Raw genomic sequence first — 19,547 nt, forward strand, 5'->3', positions numbered from 1 at the left:
TGGCCTAAAGCAACATCTTGTCTGTGGTTCCAACCCAGGTCAACATTTGATGGGTCCAGAACTGACTGAGATAGTTCCTCCAACAGCACAATGGCAGATGCTGTTAATAGGCTCCAATCCAGGGCATTAGCAGCTTCTAATCTTTAGGTGTTACCCTTTCCTCCTGACTCCTCCAGCACATTTCCTTCTTTTTGCTTCTGCAGCCCTTCAAAAAAAAAAAAAAAAAAAAAAAAAAACATAGCCAATTCCCTTTATTAAGTTCCCTTTCTTCAAAATACCTAGAGTGGTTTCTGTATTCCTGAGTAAAGCCTGACTGATATCAGTACTTGGTGTCAGGAGTGCTTGCAGAAAGAGAACCTCATAAATGGAATCCTGGGGTTGGGTTGCTGACCTGTTGAGTAAGAGTGCAGTGATCATCTCATTACATGTGGGAAATGAGATATTGTAAATTTGTGCCTTGTGGTGCCATTACAATTTCTCAAATCATCACTTGTGAATGTTTGGAATGTAGTGCCTATTAAAGACCAGGCTTTGGAAGGCCAAGTGGCTAGGGTACTTGACTGTCACGACAGTGACAGTGACTGTAAAGACTGAGATAGACTAGCTATTTCTGATGAAACTGGAGAGCTTACACAAAGAAAATGACAGATTCAAAGACTTAAACTTTCAGAATAAGGCACGGTCAGAGAACTAGAGAGTACGTTGAAGCACTAAAATTATCCCTTAATTCTTGTAGCCATAAAGCAGATATGGCTGAAAATAAGATTCCAAATGTGATTGTACATGTTGCAGAATTACATTATAAGTTTAATTTATAGCTTCATCAATTCTCCTATGTGAAAATTAGGACATGGGAGGATTAGGAACCTGCAACTTTGAATGCAGATATTTTGTAGACTAGAAGGAATCTAAGAAATGAAATCCCCCAAATCCCCCAAGCTTCCCTTACCAACAGGAATAGTTACTTCTTCTTCTTCCAGGGAAACTAGCCAACCTTTGCTAGTTGTCTTTCAAAGGATTCCTGTAATCCTCAAGCTCATGCCAATATACACCTATTGCTTCCAGATTCATAACTATAACCAGATCCCAGGAAAGTCTCATGCAAGAGGACATAGGCTATACACACCAAAAGAATTGAGTGTTTCTGCTCATTTTTATTATTAGAAACCCAGAAAATATGTATTTATGTTTAGGAGTAGATTCCAAGGAGGATAGAAATAACCTTGCATAAGGCAGAATTGATCAATATAGGGAATATATTAATCAATATATGGGAATCTGTATTTAATGCATTGGCTTTAGTAGTCAACAGTTTGCTTGATTGACTAAAATTTGGACTCAACACTGGTCTATGATAAGTGAAATTGAGATGCCAAAATTCTCTGGCATAAAACAGAGAGATGGAATTAAGTTGGAACTCCGGGGGCAGCAGCATTCAGTAGTATTCCCTTTACAAGGATATCCATTTCACCACTTTTATTCGGCTTAACACTCAAAGTCCTGGCCAGAGCAATTAGGCAAGAGAAAGAAATAAAGAGCATCCAAATTGGAAAGAAAGTAGTCAAATTATTCTTGTTCACATATGACACAATCTTATACCTAGATAAACCTAAAGACTCCACCAAAAAACTGTTAGAACTGATAAAATAAATTCAGTAAAGTTGCAGGATATAAAGTCATCATAAATAAATCAGTAGCATTTATATATACCAATTTATATATACCAATAGTGAACAATTTGAAAAAGATATCAAAAAAATCACATTTGCAATAGCTACAAAAAAAAAAATCTAGAAATCAATCTAACCAAAGAAGTGAAAGATCTACAGAAGGAAAACTATAAAACTCTGATGAAAGAAACTGAAGAGGAGACAAAAAAATCAAAATATTTTCCATGTTCAGGGATTAGAAGAATTAATATTGCTAAAATGACAAATATTACAATTTACAAATTATAAAGCAATTTGTAAAGCAATTTACAAATTTGATGCAATCTCTATCAAAATACCAATGACATTCTTTGCAGAAACAGAAAAAACACTCTAAAATTTATATGGGACCACAAAATACCTTGAATAGCCAAAGCAATCCTGAGCAAAAAGAAGAAAGCTGGAGGCATCACACTACCTGACTCCAAAATTTATGACAAAGCTACAGTAATCAAAACATCATATAATGGTACTGGCCTGAAAACAGACACAGAGACCAATGGAACAGAATAGAGAACACAGATATAAATCCATGCACCTACAACCTACCCATCTTCAACAGAAGTGCCAAGAACATACAATGAGAAAAGGACAGTCTTTTCAAAAAATGGTGTCAGAAAAACTGGATATCCATATGCAGAAGAATAAAACTAGAACCCTATCTCTCACCACACACAAAAATCAAATCAAAGTGAATTAAAGGAGGAGGAGCCAAGATGGCCGAATAGGAACAGCTCCGGTATACAGCTCCCAGTGTGAGCGACGCAGAAGACGGGTGATTTCTGCATTTCCATCTGAGGTACCGGATTCATTTCACTAGGGAGTGCCAGACAGTGGGTGCAAGTCAGTGAGTGTGCGCATCGTGCGTGAGCCAAAGAAGGGCGAGGCATTGCCTCACTTGGGAAGCGCAAGGGTCAGGGAGTTCCCTTTCCGAGTCAAAGAAAGGGGTGACGGACGCACCTGGAAAATCGGGTCACTACCAGCTGAATATTGCGCTTTTTGGACCGGCTTAAAAAACGGCGCACCACGACATTATATCCCACACGTGGCTCCGAGGGTCCTACGCCTCGCTGATTGCTAGCACAGCAGTCTGAGATCAAACTGCAAGGCAGCAGCGAGGCTGGGGGAGGGGCGCCCGCCATTGCCCAGGCTTGCTTAGGTAAACAAAGCAGCCGGGAAGCTCAAACTGGGTGGAGCCCACCACAGTTCAAGGAGGCCTGCCTGCCTCTGTAGGCTCCACCTCTGGGGGCAGGGCACAGACAAACAAAAAGACAGCAGTAACCTCTGCAGACTTAAATGTCCCTGTCTGACAGCTTTGAAGAGAGCAGTGGTTCTCCCAGCATGCAGCTGGAGATCTGAGAACAGGCAGACTGCCTCCTCAAGTGGGTCCCTGACCCCTGACCCCTGAGAAGCCTAACTGGGAGGCACCCCCCAGCAGGGGCACACTGACACCTCACACTGCAGGGTATTCCAACAGACCTGCAGCTGAGGGTCCTATCTGTTAGAAGGAAAACTAACAAACAGAAAGGACATCCACACCAAAAACCCATCTGTACATCACCATCATCAAAGACCAAAAGTAGATAAAACCACAAAGATGGGGAAAAAACAGAACAGAAAAACTGGAAACTCTAAAAAGCAGAGCGCCTCTCCTCCTCCAAAGGAACGCAGTTCCTCATCAGCAATGGAACAAAGCTGGATGGAGAATGACTTTGACGAGCTGAGAGAAGAAGGCTTCAGACGATCAAATTACTCTGAGCTACAGGAGGACATTCAAACCAAAGACAAAGAAGTTGAAAACTTTGAAAAAAATTTAGAAGAATGTATGACTAGAATAACCTATACAGAGAAGTGCTTAAAGGAGCTGATGGAGCTGAAAACCAAGGCTCGGGAACTACGTGAAGAATGCAGAAGCCTCAGGAGCCGATGCAATCAACTGGAAGAAAGGGTATCAGCGATGGAAGATGAAATGAATGAAATGAAGTGAGAAGGGAAGTTTAGAGAAAAAAGAATACAAAGAAATGAGCAAAGCCTCCAAGAAATATGGGACTATGTGAAAAGACCAAATCTACGTCTGATTGGTGTACCTGAAAGTGATGGGGAGAATGGAAACAAGTTGGAAAACACTCTGCAGGATATTATCCAGGAGAACTTCCCCAATAAAGCAAGGCAGGCCAACGTTCAGATTCAGGAAATACAGAGAATGCCACAAAGATACTCCTCGAGAAGAGCAACTCCAAGACATATAATTGTCAGATTCACCAAAGTTGAAATGAAGGAAAAAATGTTAAGGGCAGCCAGAGAGAAAGGTCAGGTTACCCTCAAAGGGAAGCCCATCAGACAAAGAGTGGATATCTCGGCAGAAACCCTACAAGCCAGAAGAGAGTGGGGGCCAATATTCAACATTCTTAAAGAAAAGAATTTTCAACCCAGAATTTCATATCCAGCCAAACTAAGCTTCATAAGTGAAGGAGAAATAAAATACTTTACAGACAAGCAAATGCTGAGAGATTTTGTCACCACCAGGCCTGCCCTGAAAGAGCTTCTGAAGGAAGCACTAAACATGGAAAGGAACAACTGGTACCAGCCACTGCAAAATCATGCCAAAATGTAAAGACCGTCGAGACTAGGAAGAAACTGCATCAACTAACGAGCAAAATCACCAGCTAACATCATAATGACAGGATCAAATTCACACATAACAATATTAACTTTAAATGTAAATGGACTAAATGTTCCAATTAAAAGACACAGACTGGCAAATTGGATTAAGAGTCAAGACCCATCAGTGTGCTGTATTCAGGAAACCCATCTCACGTGCAGAGACACATATAGGCTCAAAATAAAAGGATGGAGGAAGATCTACCAAGAAAATGGAAAACAAAAAAAGGCAGGGGTTGCAATCCTAGTCTCTGATAAAACAGACTTTAAACCAACAAAGATCAAAAGAGACAAAGAAGGCCATTACATAATGGTAAAGGGATCAATTCAACAAGAAGAGCTAACTATCCTAAATATATATGCACCCAATACAGGAGCACCCAGATTCGTAAAGCAAGTCCTGAGTGACCTACAAAGAGACTTAGACTCCGACACATTAATAATGGGAGACTTTAACACCCCACTGTCAACATTAGACAGATCAATGAGACAGAAAGTCAACAAGGATACCCAGGAATTGAACTCAGCTCTGCACCAAGCGGACCTAATAGACATCTGCAGAACTCTCCACCCCAAATCAACAGAATATACATTTTTTTCAGCACCACACCACACCTATTCCAAAATTGACCACATACTTGGAAGTAAAGCACTCCTCAGCAAATGTAAAAGAACAGAGATTATAACAAACTATCTCTCAGACCACAATGCAATCAAACTAGAACTCGGGATTAAGAATCTCACTCAAAACCACTCAACTACATGGATACTGAACAACCTGCTCCTGAATGACTACTGGATACATAACGAAATGAAGGCAGAAATAAAGATGTTCTTTGAAACCAATGAGAACAAAGACACAACATACCAGAATCTCTGGGAAGCATTTAAAGCAGCGTGTAGAGGGAAATTTATAGCACTAATGCCCACAAGAGAAAGCAGGAAAGATCCAAAATTGACACCCTAACATCACAATTAAAAGAACTAGAAAAGCAAGAGCAAACACATTCAAAAGCTAGCAGAAGGCAAGAAATAACTAAAATCAGAGCAGAACTGAAGGAAATAGAGACACCAAACACCCTTCAAAAAATTAATGAATCCAGGAGCTGGTTTTTTGAAAGGATCAACAAAATTGATAGACTGCTAGCAAGACTAATAAAGAAAAAAAGAGAGAAGAATCAAATAGACACAATAAAAAATGATAAAGGGGATATCACCACCTATCCCACAGAAATACAAACTACCATCAGAGAATACTACAAACACCTCTACGCAAATAAACTAGAAAATCTAGAAGAAATGGATAAATTCCTCGACACATACAATCTCCCAAGACTAAACCAGGAAGAAGTTGAATCTCTGAATAGACCAATAACAGGAGCAGAAATTGTGGCAATAATCAACAGCTTACCAACCAAAAAGAGTCCAGGACCAGATGGATTCACAGCCGAATTCTACCAGAGGTACAAGGAGGAACTGGTATCATTCCTTCTGAAACTATTCCAATCAATAGAAAAAGAGGGAATCCTCCCTAACTCATTTTATGAGGCCAGCATCATTCTGATACCAAAGCCGGGCAGAGACACAACCAAAAAAGAGAATTTTAGACCAATATCCTTGATGAACATTAATGCAAAAATCCTCAATAAAATACTGGCAAACTGAATCCAGCAGCACATCAAAAAGCTTATCCACCATGATCAAGTGGGCTTCATCCCTGGGATGCAAGGCTTGTTCAATATACACAAATCAATAAATGTAATCCAGCATATACACAGAGCCAAAGACAAAAACCACATGATTATCTCAATAGATGCAGAAAAAGCCTTTGACAAAATTCAACAACCCTTCGTGCTAAAAACTCTCAATAAATTAGGTGTTGATGGGATGTATTTCAAAATAATAAGAGCTATCTATGACAAACCCACAGCCAATATCATACTGAATGGGCAAAAACTGGAAGCATTCCCTTTGAAAACTGGCACAAGACAGGGATGCCCTCTCTCACCACTCCTACTCAACATAGTGTTGGAAGTTCTGGCCAGGGCAATTAGGCAGGAGAAGGAAATAAAGGGTATTCAATTAGGAAAAGAGGAAGTCAAATTGTCCCTGTTTGCAGACGACATGATTATATATCTAGAAAACCCCATTGTCTCAGCCCAAAATCTCCTTAAGCTGATAAGCAACTTCAGCAAAGTCTCAGGATACAAAATCAATGTACAAAAATCACAAGCATTCTTATACACCAACAACAGACAAACAGAGAGCCAAATCATGAGTGAAATCCCATTCACAATTGCTTCAAAGAGAATAAAATACCTAGGAATCCAACTTACAAGAGACGTGAAGGACCTCTTCAAGGAGAACTACAAACCACTGCTCAATGAAATAAAAGAGGATACAAAGAAATGGAAGAATATTCCATGCTCATGGGTAGGAAGAATCAATAGCGTGAAAATGGCCATACTGCCCAAGGTAATTTACAGATTCAATGCCATCCCCATAAAGCTACCAATGACTTTCTTCACAGAATTGGAAAAAACTACTTTAAAGTTCATATGGAACCAAAAAAGAGCCTGCATCACCAAGGCAATCCTAAACCAAAAGAACAAAGCTGGAGGCATCACACTACCTGACTTCAAACTATACTACAAGGCTACAGTAACCAAAACAGCATGGTACTGGTACCAAAACAGAGATATAGATCAATGGAACAGAACAGAGCCCTCAGAAATAACGCCGCATATCTACAACTATCTGATCTTTGACAAACCTGAGAAAAACAAGCAATGGGGAAAGGATTCCCTATTTAATAAATGGTGCTGGGAAAACTGGCTAGCCATATGTAGAAAGCTGAAACTGGATCCCTTCCTTACATCTTATACAAAAATCAATTCAAGATGGATTAAAGACTTAAACGTTAGACCTAAAACCATAAAAACCCTAGAAGAAAACCTAGGCATTATCATTCAGAACATAGGCGTGGGCAAGGACTTCATCTCCAAAACACCAAAAGCCATGGCAACAAAAGCCAAAATTGACAAATGGGATCTAATTAAACTAAAGAGCTTCTGCACAGCAAAAGAAACTACCATCAGAGTGAACAGGCAACCTACAAAATGGGAGAAAATTTTCACAACCTACTCATCTGACAAAGGGCTAATATCCAGAATCTACAATGAACTCAAACAAATTTACAAGAAAAAAACAAACAACCCCATCAAAAAGTGGGCAAAGGATATGAACAGACACTTCTCAAAAGAAGACATTTATGCAGCCAAAAAACACATGAAAAAATGCTCATCATCACTGGCCATCAGAGAAATGCAAATCAAAACCACAATGAGATACCATCTCACACCAGTTAGAATGGCAATCATTAAAAAGTCAGGAAACAACAGGTGCTGGAGAGGATGTGGAGAAATAGGAACACTTTTACACTGTTGGTGGGACTGTAAACTAGTTCAACCATTGTGGTAGTCAGTGTGGTGATTCCTCAGGGATCCAGAATTAGAAATACCACTTGACCCAGTCATCCCATACTGGGTATATACCCAAAGGACTATAAATCATGCTGCTATAAAGACACATGCACACGTATGTTTATTGCGGCATTATTCACAATAGCAAAGACTTGGAACCAACCCAAATGTCCAACAATGATAGACTGGATTAAGAAAATGTGGCACATATACACCATGGAATACTATGCAGCCATAAAAAATGATGAGTTCATGTCCTTTGTAGGGACATGGATGAAATTGGAAATCATCATTCTCAGTAAACTATCGCAAGAACAAAAAACCAAACACCGCATATTCTCACTCATAGGTGGGAATTGAACAATGAGATCACATGGACACAGAAAGGGGAATATCACACTCTGGGGACTGTGGTGGGGTGGGGGGAGGGGGGAGGGATAGCATTGGGAGATATACCTAATGCTAGATGACGAGTTAGTGGGTGCAGCGCACCAGCATAGCACATGTATACATATGTAACTAACCTGCACAATGTGAACGTGTACCCTAAAACATAAAGTATAATAAAAAAAAAAAGAAAAAAACAAAGTGAATTAAAGACTTAAATCTAAGGCCTAAAACTATGAAACTACTGGAAGAAAACACTGGGGAAGCACCCCAGGACTTTGGTCTAGACAAAGATTTTTTTATGTCAGACAGCAATAGCATGGGCAACCAAAGCAAAAACAGACAAACAGGATAACATCACGCTCAAAAGCTTCCACACAACAAAGGAAACAAAGTGAAGAAGTGACCCACAGAATGGGGAAGAATATTTGCAAAATGTCCATCTAACAAGGGATTAATAACCAGAATATATATATATGTAAGGGACTCAAGCAACTTAATAGCAAAAAAAAATTCGATTTTAAAATAAGCAAATATCTGAAAAAATATTTCTCAAAAGAAGACATACAAATAGCCAACAGGTATAGAAAAATACTCAATATTGCTAACATCAGAGAAATGCAAATTAAAACTACAATGAAATATCTCACCTCAGTTAAAATGACTTGTATCAAAAAGATAGGCAATAACAAATGCTGGCAAGGATATGGAGAAAGGGGAACCCTCATACACTATTGATGGGAATGTAAATTAGTACAGTCACTATGGAAAACAGTATGGAGGTTCCTCAAAAAACTAAAAATAGGGCCAGGCACAGTGCCTCACATGCCTATAATCCAAGCACTTTTAGACACCAAGGTAGCAGATCACTTGAGCTCAGGAGTTTGACTCCAACCTGGGCAACACAGTGAAAAACCATCTCTAAAACTAAAAAAATAAAAAATAGAACTGCTATATGATATACTATATGATCCAGCAATTCCACTACTAGGTATATAATCAAAAGAAAGAAAGGAATTTAATATATTAAAGAGATATCTGCACTCCCATGCTTATTGCAGCACAATTCACAATAGCCAAAATATGGACCCAACGTACATGCCCATCAATGGATGAATGAATAAAGAAAATGAGGTATATATATGCAGTGAAATATTATTCAGCCATGAAAAAAGGATGAAATCTTGCCATTTGCAGCAACATGGATGGAATTGGAGGCCACTGTGTTAAGTAAAATAAGCCAAGCACATAAAAATAAATATCACATGTTCTCATTTACATGTGGGAGCTAAAAAAGTGGATGCATGAAGATAGAGAACAGATTGGTGGTTACCAGGGAAGGGGTAGAGGGGAAGGGAGATGAAGGGGGAAAAAGAATATAAATGTAGTTATTACCACTTAACTGTACACTTAAAAATGATAAAGATGATAAATAATTCAAAAAGAAAGACAACATCAACAAATAGAGATGTTAAGGTGCCAAAGTAGGCTACAGGACAAGCAAGCTACAGCAAATAATGGCATAATAGTTCCAGGAATGCTGGTAGCTGTTTCTTGGTGTGGAATTGTTGAGTTTGAAGTAAAATTTTATCTGTACCTGACTCCTCCCACCCCCGGTCTCCCTGCAAAAACACTAGTATTGTCTTTAAGTGGTTCCCTAGCAGCAGTGGCCTGTGTAAACAGTAGTGATTCAAAACCAGAACGGCCCTGTGGAGTGAATCCTACCATGGTTCCTGCTGGTCTTCCTTGATTCTTCTGGACCTGTCCCTGAGCCTGGTCCTCCAGCCTTGCTGTAGGTACTGTCTTTTCCATGATGTTTCATTCAAAATTCCTTTTCCATTGAAGTCAACTGGAGTTACATATAACAATAAACCATGAATTATGCAGTTTGCATTTTTATCTTTCAGCTACAAAGGCTGTTTAGTAGCCCACATCCTATTAACTTTAATTTCAATGATAATGTCTGTTTCTTACTGGAGAATACTGGGAGAATAGTGGTGGAGATAGCAAATTAGGGAAATGCAGATTAAAACCAGAATAAGATATTATTTCACACCCACCTAGTTGTAAAAAATATGAAAATTCTGAAAATACCAAGTGTTGGTTAGCATGTAAACAGTGGTTGGAGTGTAAAATGGTACAACCACTTTAGAAAACAGTTTCTAGTAAAGTGGATGATGTGCACAACTCCCGTGACCCAGCAACATCTACTTGGAAGAATAGATTATAGAGAAAGGCTTATTCATACACGCAGGCGAAAAGTCCAAGAATGTTCACATGGCATTGTTTGTAATAATTACAGGAGAAAAATGAAAGTACCCCAAATGTTCGATAGGTAAATAGACAACTAACTTGTAATGTATTTATACAATGGAATATTAAACAGCCATAAAGATGAAATAATTATAGAACATGTCAACATAGATTGATTTTATCAATATCTTTAATGAAAAAATGCAATTCACAGAAGGTTGCAAACAATGATTTCAAATGGTATAATATTTGAAAAAGGTGAAGTTAAACAATATTGTTTGGGGATACATAGAAAAGTGGTAAAATTCAAGTTGGAGTTACCTTTAGAGAGAGGAGAGAAATTTGAATGAGGAGGGACACACAGGGGAACTTCATAGGGACTGGTAATAATCTATTTCTTAACGTATTGTTTCTCTAATATTTTTGAAACCACTTATATGTATTATATATGCAGTTTTATAATTACAAAATAATCATAATTTTTTAAAAGCAATTTTGTGACTCAGCTGGCTGCCACTTCAAATGCTCATGAATTTGAAAAAAGTAATTTAAAAAAAGAAAATGTCTTCTGCCTACATAACCCTGTTTACCTACTAAACAGGTTTGGTTTTGTTTTTTTGTTTGTAATCATAGGATTCAGCGTCTTGTATAGTCTTGTGAATCATGAATCTCCAAGAGAAGAACTTAAAATTCCATAATTTCCAAACTTTTTTAACCATGGAATATTTAGACTTGGAATACCTAAAATACAGATATGGTTCGAGAAAAATACTTTTCTACAGATGTGTCCTAGTTCTGTGCCACACCTCCCACCCCCAACCCGGAGCTATTCATTTCTGCATTCTTGGTCCCAAACCCTAGCTGAGTGTCTAGGACGCTGCTTCCCATCTGCCTACCTAGACTCCTGTTCACTGCTGGCTCCTAGGTTCCTAGAGATGTTGCAAAACCTGCTTGCTTGGAAAAGTCCACATTCTGGCCTTCCACTCTGGCCTGAGACAGGATTTCTCCGGGCCTGTCGTCCTCCACATACCCCTTTCATGCTGTGTTCTACCTGCGGCACTGGCGTTCCTCCCAGCACTTGCGGAGGGGCCTGTCTGCTTATCGCTTATTCCAGCACAGGAGGCAGTCATTCCAGATCATCCGACCCTGCCCTGCTCCCCAACCCGTCAGATCATATTGGATGTGACTTGACATAAGATCATGAGACTTGAAAATCATATCCCTGGGGACAAGCAGAACTGGAGTGACAGAGAAGAAAAGACTTAGGCAGACAGGCACCAGAAAAGTATTGCGGCATTTGCCCGTGAGGTCACCACTAAACACATGGTCATTTCTGAGGCTCAAAGTGTAGCCCAGAATCATAGCTGAAATCTCTGGGTCTTCCAAAGAGAAGAATCAGCCTTAATAGTTGATTAGTGGATATGACTCAAGCAAGCCAGATAGCCCACAGACAAATGGGCCATGGAAGAAGAAAACCCTTACAAAAGCAGCACTACCAGCAGTCTCTGAGATAGACAAGCAGAAGGCTACAGGGCTACAAGGCAGTGAGAAGCGCAGAAATGCTATTGTGGAGGATCTTAGGAGGCAGGACCTGAGTTCCGGACAATTGCAGCTAAGGGTGAAATGAAGCCAGGTAAATACTGTTGTGACTATATTTTTGTCCCCTCTGTTTCTCTCTCCATCTCCCTGACTTATGTGGCCTAGGGAAAGAGAAGTTATGTTACAAATGAAATTCAAATTAGTATGTTGTGACTTACTAAGTAACGTTTCAAACTTTAAGACAAAAGTCAAACAGTATAGGGTTCTTTAAGCAGTTCTGGCTAGCATTAAATGAAAAGGAATATTTTTGAAGAATATCAGATAACTCACAGAATCAACAGAAAGCTGGAGAACAAGGCCCAGAAACACGATGGAAACCCAGGATGGCCAGTGGGGACTAGCCAGGGCCTCAGGACCCATATGGGTAGGGCAGTGTCTGTGCTGCCCTAGGCCACCACAGCCTAGGGGTGCTCAAAACCAACAGGGCTGACTGCCAAATCTCAAAGGCTCTGCCGCCACCATAAGGAAAGTCTGACCTGTTCCAGATTCTTAGCAAAGTTCTCTTAAGAGTCAAAGTGTGAGATGGTACTGCCTGTTTGGCTGAACCAAGATCACAGGCTGGCTCCTGCATGGCCTTTGGGCTGGGAGAGAGGAACTCCCCCCTTTGGTTTCCATCGTGAAAGAAGAGCAGCCTGCACACCCAGCAGGCAGGTGGGTGGGGAGGTCCCAAACCCAGAATGGTGCGTAGCTGGCTGAGCAGCACAAAGAAATGACGACTGTTCACTACAACATTATAATGTTGTGCGGTGCTATAAACTAACAGTACTGTGAATAATAACTATTAAAATGAGTGTGAAATGACTTAATGTGAATAAATGAAGAAATGCTGTGTGTGAGTGTGAATGACTATGAAGGTTGCCAGCTGTGAGCAACAAGAGGATTGCAAGAGGAAATCAAAGGACACAGCTTCACAGGTGACAGCACAGAGGCCAGAGAACAGAACTAGCACAAGGTTCCCAGACCTGCAGGGAACTGACTAAGGAAGAGCTAGAAGCTTCTGTCAGGCTGGGAAGGGGCCTCAGCATGAACAGAAAGTCCCCCTCCACTAGGCTCAGAGAGGGCTGGTACCTCAGGGGTCTTCTTAAGGAAAAGCTCAGCTGAATAGAGCAAGTTCTTGCCAATAAAACTCCCCAGACGATTCCATGTCAACCACAGCTGCAAATGGAGAGTGGTCATCTCTGAATGATGGGGTTGATAGGAAGTATTTATCTCTGTTTAGAATATTCATGTGCTAAGCTTTCTATGGTAAACATGTGTGGCTTTTATAATCAGAAAAGAAAGAGTGAAAGAAATAAGACAAACTTCGGTAAAAGCTGCCCCTTTCTTTTCTCTTCCTGTAAGAATAAATAAATCATCTTAGGATAACAATTAGAAACTGAATGTGCCAGAGGGAATATGTGTCTGATGTGTGTGTCAAAGAGAAAATTTAGCAAATTGTAAATCTGTAAGAAACTAGAACTTGGCCCTCATGGCTTCAGTTTGGACTGGTTTGAATTGGGTTGTCAATTTAATTGCTACTAACTGGGTTCTCACTTTGCAAACAAACAAACAAAAACCCAAAACTTCTTATTTAATTTGAGAGGACAAAGATCTCTATCTTTAGGGTTAACACCCTGCCTTCAGCCTCTTCCTCCACCACACTCATATTTTTCTGGGGGTCCCCTCTGTTGTTCTCCAGAGCAGCCCATTCAGCCCCCAAAGAATGTGCATAGATTATTTTGTCACAGGAATGGCTCCTTGGAGCACGCAAATGCACCCTGCAGCAGGTGCTAGCTCGCAGAAGGTTGAACACCAAGGGGGCCAGGCCTGCAAAAGGGAGGCACCAATGCAGGATATGCAAGTCCCCAGGGTGGCAAAGCCTTTTCATATTCTAGACACCAGGGCAGGGTGGAGAGGAAATCCAACTCAGAGAAGGATGGCGAGTGGTGTGACTGCAGGTGTAGTACAGAGGGTTCACTCTTAGGAAATCCACCTGAGGGGAGGCAAGGGGAAGCCCCAGGAAAGGGCCGGGGTGCTGGAAATCTGAGAAATCTGAGCTGAGAGGCAGGCAGGGTCTGTTTTCATGCACCACATGCCCAACCTAACCTGGGCCTTCAGGGAGCTGTCCACACCCTGTCCACAAGCCATGTGTTCAGGACTTGACCCACAAGCCACCCAGCCTTCTGTACCCATTCCACACCTCATTCCATATTCTGGTCTCTCCATGTTTATTGTCCCTGCTTCCTTGGTCCCTTTCCAGTTCTCTCCTATAGCATACCTTTCTTACTAAAGAAGTAACTCAAAGTAATTCATCATTCTTCTTTACTAGGGATAAATCAATGCTAAGAAGTGGTTAAAAAAAAAGAAAGAAAGAAAAAGAAAGAAAGAGAGAGAAAGAAAAATGTTAAAAAAAAAAAAAGAGCTCCTTAAAGAGATTTTCTTCCTGTGTAGTGAGAGGAATTGAAAGAGCATTGAATAAAAAGAGAATTGTACAGATAAACAGTGGTATACCAAGGATGGAGGATGGGGAGAGTTGTCCATCAAGGTGAGGAATATTTTATCACTGACATTGCTTAGAACTGTCAGTGCATGGTGATAATAAAAAGCAGACCGACTTTTTCTTGTATCTATTATTGTTTTAAAATTCTCCATGACATTGCACATCGTTATTTCTTGCATTCAAGGCAAAGCACTCCAACCTCCTTTGGTACTGACCAGCTCTCTGAGTCTTTCTGTGTTCCAAGTGAATCTGCACATTGCAATCATTTTCATCAATAGACTTTGATTTCTCAATCCATAAAACGGCATCCACAAAGCAGAAACAATGGAGGCCAGGGGAGATTTAGATATCATTTATTCCAATCCTCTCATTTCACAGTGAAGGAGATAGGTGGAGATAGGTGATGTGACTTGTCCAAGTTGGTGCCAGAGCTAGGTCTTAACCTCAAGTCTCTGATTCTCTACATCCAGGATTGTATCTAGTACAGAAAGGGGCAGAGCTAGCTCAAAATTTTACAGTTATTTTTAGGTCCCTTTCCCAATTCAACCAAGAACTTTCTCTTAACTACTGAAGGCTCTAATAAAATAATGTGATCTGTGCCTGAGCCTGAAGACAGCTGTCTCGGAAGAGGATCAAAATCCCTCCCCTTACAGTCACCCGAACATGGACTTGATGGCTCCCCTGGATTCTATTCATAGAATGTTCCTGCATTATTGCAATAAAAAGTGCAAAAAAATCCCCTTTCCCAGGCATGTTGCTTCCTGCACTGCTCCAACTTTTATAGCTTCTTCAATTGGCCACTCCATGTAGCTTGGGGCATTAATTACTCTGCACCCTTCATTTGGAAGCAGAGCTTCTCTAAAACCTTCAAGTTTTTCTCAGCTCCAGCCATTGCAGCAACCCCAGCACCTGGGAGCCATGAGGTCATTGCCACCTTTCCAGGTCCTACTGATATCTTAGAGATGCAATAGTGGAAAACATTAGCATATCTGGAACTCAGTTATGTTTTTATTCTTCCATCCTTGGCCAGAAGAGTTTCTTTTCCCAAACCCCTGTGATACAGAGATGGGCATGATGGCTATGAGTGCTCTCAAAAACAACCAGATTTAACATCAGCTAGAATAGAGGTTCTAGAATGAATGAAGCAAATCAGCTCCTCCCCCACTGCAGAAATCATGACCTGGTGTGCTCCACAAGCAGGCTGATGTTTTTTCCAGTTGTCCATTATTTTTAGATTATCCATGTCATTCTTCTCATTAGCCCAAGTCATTGAGAGTTCACAGTTGGTATTGCTGAATCATTGCCCAAGTCACTCAGCCTCCTGATTAAAAACAGATCAAAAAAGCTTGTTAGTTCATCATTACTTATAGAAGAAAGGCTCAACTCCGTAGCAGGATGTTCAAGCCTTTCCTAAACTGGCCCCAACCAACCTCGCCAGCTTCATCACCCATCATGACTGTAAAGCTCTTGTCTTTCCTTCTCACACTCCCACTTTCCATGTCTAATGCTCACTCATCCTCCAGGATTCCGCTTAAGTCATCTTCTCCAAGAACTCTACTTTGACAGCATCTAGGCCCTTACTCAGAGCTCCCTTACCTCCATCTTAGACTTGTCACTCTGCTTTCATGTTTCCTTGTCTGTTTCCTCCACTAGACTGTGATCTCTAGGGGCGCCACTGCATGACAAATGTGTGACTGTGAACAAGTCTTTTACCTTAAATTTCAATTTCATCATTTGTAAATGAGAATAAGAATGGTACCCTCTCCAGCAGTTATCAGGAAGAATACATGGGTTAATACATATAAAGCATTTAGTAAGCTCTCAATAAATATTTGCTATTATTATGATTAGTATTCAAGGCATAGACAAGGTTCATAATTCTTGGTCTTCCCAATATCTAAGTCAACACCTGGCACACAACAAATACTCAACAATTACTTGTTGAGTAAATTAATAAATAATAAATATTCCATCCAAACCTATTTGCCGTTTTCTAAACACTCCATGCCTTTTATGGCTCTTTGTCCTTACACACTCTGTTTGGAATATCTGTTCCTCCCTACTCCCCTTACCCCCATCCCTTTTCTAACTTCAAGACTAAGATCAAATGTCACCTCCTCTTTTCAACACCCTGGGGTCCTGGAGCAGATTTAACTGAGTTTGCACAGAACTTTGTTCATGCCATTGTCATCATACTCATGGCATTATCTTACAATTATTATAATGGTTTGCTTACAATACATTAATTTCTCCATCTCTACAGTGAGCTCCTCTAGAACAATGACTGATTCATGTATCCCCTAACCCAGTTTCAACTCAGTAGCTAGCACAGTGCTGGCATACATTAGGCATCTAATTGACATAGAATAGGTTCCCCAGTGAGTCCAGAGGTTGATCCCGCTGTTTCAGAGATAGTGAGATAAAACCTAAGGACCTTTCCTGGAGAGGCAGGGAATATGGCTGTGTGCTTGGAGCAACACTGCCATTTCTTTATTTCTCCTGCTCACTACGTAAACACCCTAACAACAGTAAAGCAGTCATTTAAATGGGAAAGCAGCATCATCCGCTATACTATTATACTAACACATCAACTGCTTTCATTTTTCTTTGTTCCCCTAAAGTCTTTTATTTATATGCATGCATAAGTTTGCATGGTTGCACTCATAATGTAGACACATTTTAGCATATTGCTTTTTTACTTAACCTTCTCTCATAACATATTTGCAAGTTACTATACTGTCTACAAAATGATTCTGGCTGTATAATATTCCATTTGGTGGTTTTAAGTTACCACTATTAAAAATAATGCTATACCAAATATCTTTTTGCACAGAACTTTTCTTCTTCTAATTGGTGGGATTTTTTTTCAAACACTCCTTTCTAAGACTTTGTAATTTTTCTGGAGCCTTGACAAAAGAGCTGACTTTTTTTTTTTTTTTTTTTTTTTGAGATGGAGTTTCGCTCTTGTCACCCAGGCTGGAGTGCAATGGCGCAATCTCAGCTCACTACAACCTGTGCCTCCTGGGTTCAAGCGATTCTCCAGCCTCAGCCTCCCGAGTAGCTGGGATTACAGGAACTTGCCACCACGCCCAGCTAAATTTTTTGTATTTTTAGTAGAGACAGGGTTTCGCCATGTTGGCCAGGCTGGTCTTCAACTCCTGACCTCAGGTGATCCACCCACCTCGGCCTCCCAAAGTTCTGGGATTACAGGCGTGAGCCACCGTGAACAGCCAAGGGCTGACTTTTTCTTTAAAGTCACAACAAACAAACAGTGAAGTACAGAAGGTCAGTTAAGGCAGACCCCTAGAATAATAGTTCTCAGTCTCTGGACAGGCTTTAGGATCCAGAGGATTACTTGAGGATCTTTTGAAACTACCAATGTACAAGTTTCACCCCAGATCAACTGAATCAGAATCTGGGAATGGAGCAATAGAATGTTTTAAAAGCTTACAATGCCAGTGAAAGACACTTGTCTAGATTCTACCTGTCTCTACCAGGTCAAATAATTAGCAAGAGCATCATGGCAAACAGTTTAATGAGTCCTAGTTCTAGAGCAGAGACTGATGTCACCTGCTGGAGGTGGCCTCTCTGGACTACAAGGATTAGTGATATGCAGAAGGTCATTGGAGACTCATGGGACAAATCTGACTGGTCTCATAATCACTCACTCAAGAAGTACGTTTTTGTTTTTTTTAGACAGGGTCTCTCTCTGTTGCCCAGGCCAGAGTGCAGTGGCACAGCCACTGCAGCCTTGACCTCTCAGGCCCAAGTGATCCTCCTGCCTCAGCCTCTTGAGTAGCTGAGACTACAAGCATGTGCCACCATACCCAGCTAAGTTTGAAATTTTTTTGTAGAGACTGGTCTCACGATGTCACCCAGGCTGGTCTTGAACTCCTGGGCTCAAGCGATCCTCCCACCTTGGCCTCCCAAAATGCTGGGATTACAGGTGTGAGGCAATGCGACTGGCCAAGAAGTACTTATTGATTGCCAAACTGAACTAAACTACATCAGAGTTTTGAATTCCAGTCAAACATATCCCATGGCCTGCTCTACATTCTTGCTTAAACATAAACAGACATCTTGAACTTGACGTATTTAAAACCTAACACCTGATTTATCCTGATCAAACCAGCTGGTCCAACAGTCTTCCACATCTCAATTAATGGAACCTCCTACCCTCTGATTACTCAGGCCCCAAACGTTGGTATCATCCTTGATGCCTCTCCTTCTGTCACATTTTACATTCCAACCCATCAATGAATCCTGCAGGTTTTCCCTTCAAAATACATCTAGAATCTAACCACTTCTCACCACCTCCACCCACTGTCTCCCTGCCCCAAGCCACCACCATCACTTGCCTGAATTATAGCAATAGCTTCTGAAAAATTGTCCCTGATTAACCCTTGCCCCTTGCAGACTTTTCTTCACATAGCAGCCAGAGTAATTTTTAAAAACATAAGTCAAATTACACCACTTATCTGTAAAACTTACAGTGTCTTCCAATCTCACTCAGAGTATGATGTGCCAGTTTGACTGAGCCATGGAGAGCCCGGATGTTTGCTCAAACATTATTCTGGGTGTGTCAGTCAAGGTGTTTCTCAATGACATTAACATTTGGATCTGTTGATAGTAAAGCAAATTGCCCTTCTCAGTGTGGGTGGCCTCATCCAATCAGTTGAAAGCTGACTAGAACAAAAGGGCTGATCCTTCCACAAGTAAGGGGGACTCCTCCTTCCTGACTGCCTTTGAGCTGAAACACTGGCTTTTTTCCACCCCTCAGGCTTAAACTAAAATATTGGTTCTTCCCAGGTCTCCAGCCTGCCAGTATGCAAACTAGAACTACACCACTGAGTCTCCTGGGTCTCTAGGGTGCCAACAGCAGATCTTGGGACTTGTCAAACCGCATAATTGCATGAGCTAATTCCTTACAATAAGTCTGTTTATATATACACCCTGTTGATTCTGTTTCTCTGCAGA

General features: G+C 40.8%; 1 long non-coding RNA gene across 2 annotated transcripts in view, besides 1 other annotated feature; it reads right to left on the reverse strand.

Annotated features, from left to right (window-relative positions):
* Nucleotides 9,805–10,005: a silencer, noted in NCBI's record as "peak367 fragment used in MPRA reporter construct". NCBI's record gives its function as "represses an SCP1 promoter by STARR-seq MPRAs in K562 erythroleukemia cells {active_cell/tissue: K562}" and the evidence as "EXISTENCE:reporter gene assay evidence [ECO:0000049][PMID:32103011]".
* The window catches only part of LINC02884 (long intergenic non-protein coding RNA 2884), a 130,935-nt gene continuing 122,052 nt past the window's right edge, over nt 10,665–19,547 (reverse strand). The window contains exons 2-3 of one of the 2 annotated variants that reach the window (NR_183465.1): nt 19,062–19,190; nt 10,665–15,891 (exon numbers count right to left, since the gene is read on the reverse strand). This is a non-coding gene — a long non-coding RNA (long intergenic non-protein coding RNA 2884). The remainder of the gene's footprint in view (nt 15,892–19,061; nt 19,191–19,547) is intronic. The other variant, NR_183466.1, reaches the window with a different exon arrangement.

This window comes from Homo sapiens, chromosome 1 (genome assembly GCF_000001405.40).
Source record: "Homo sapiens chromosome 1, GRCh38.p14 Primary Assembly".
NCBI classification, from domain to species: Eukaryota; Metazoa; Chordata; class Mammalia; order Primates; family Hominidae; genus Homo; species Homo sapiens.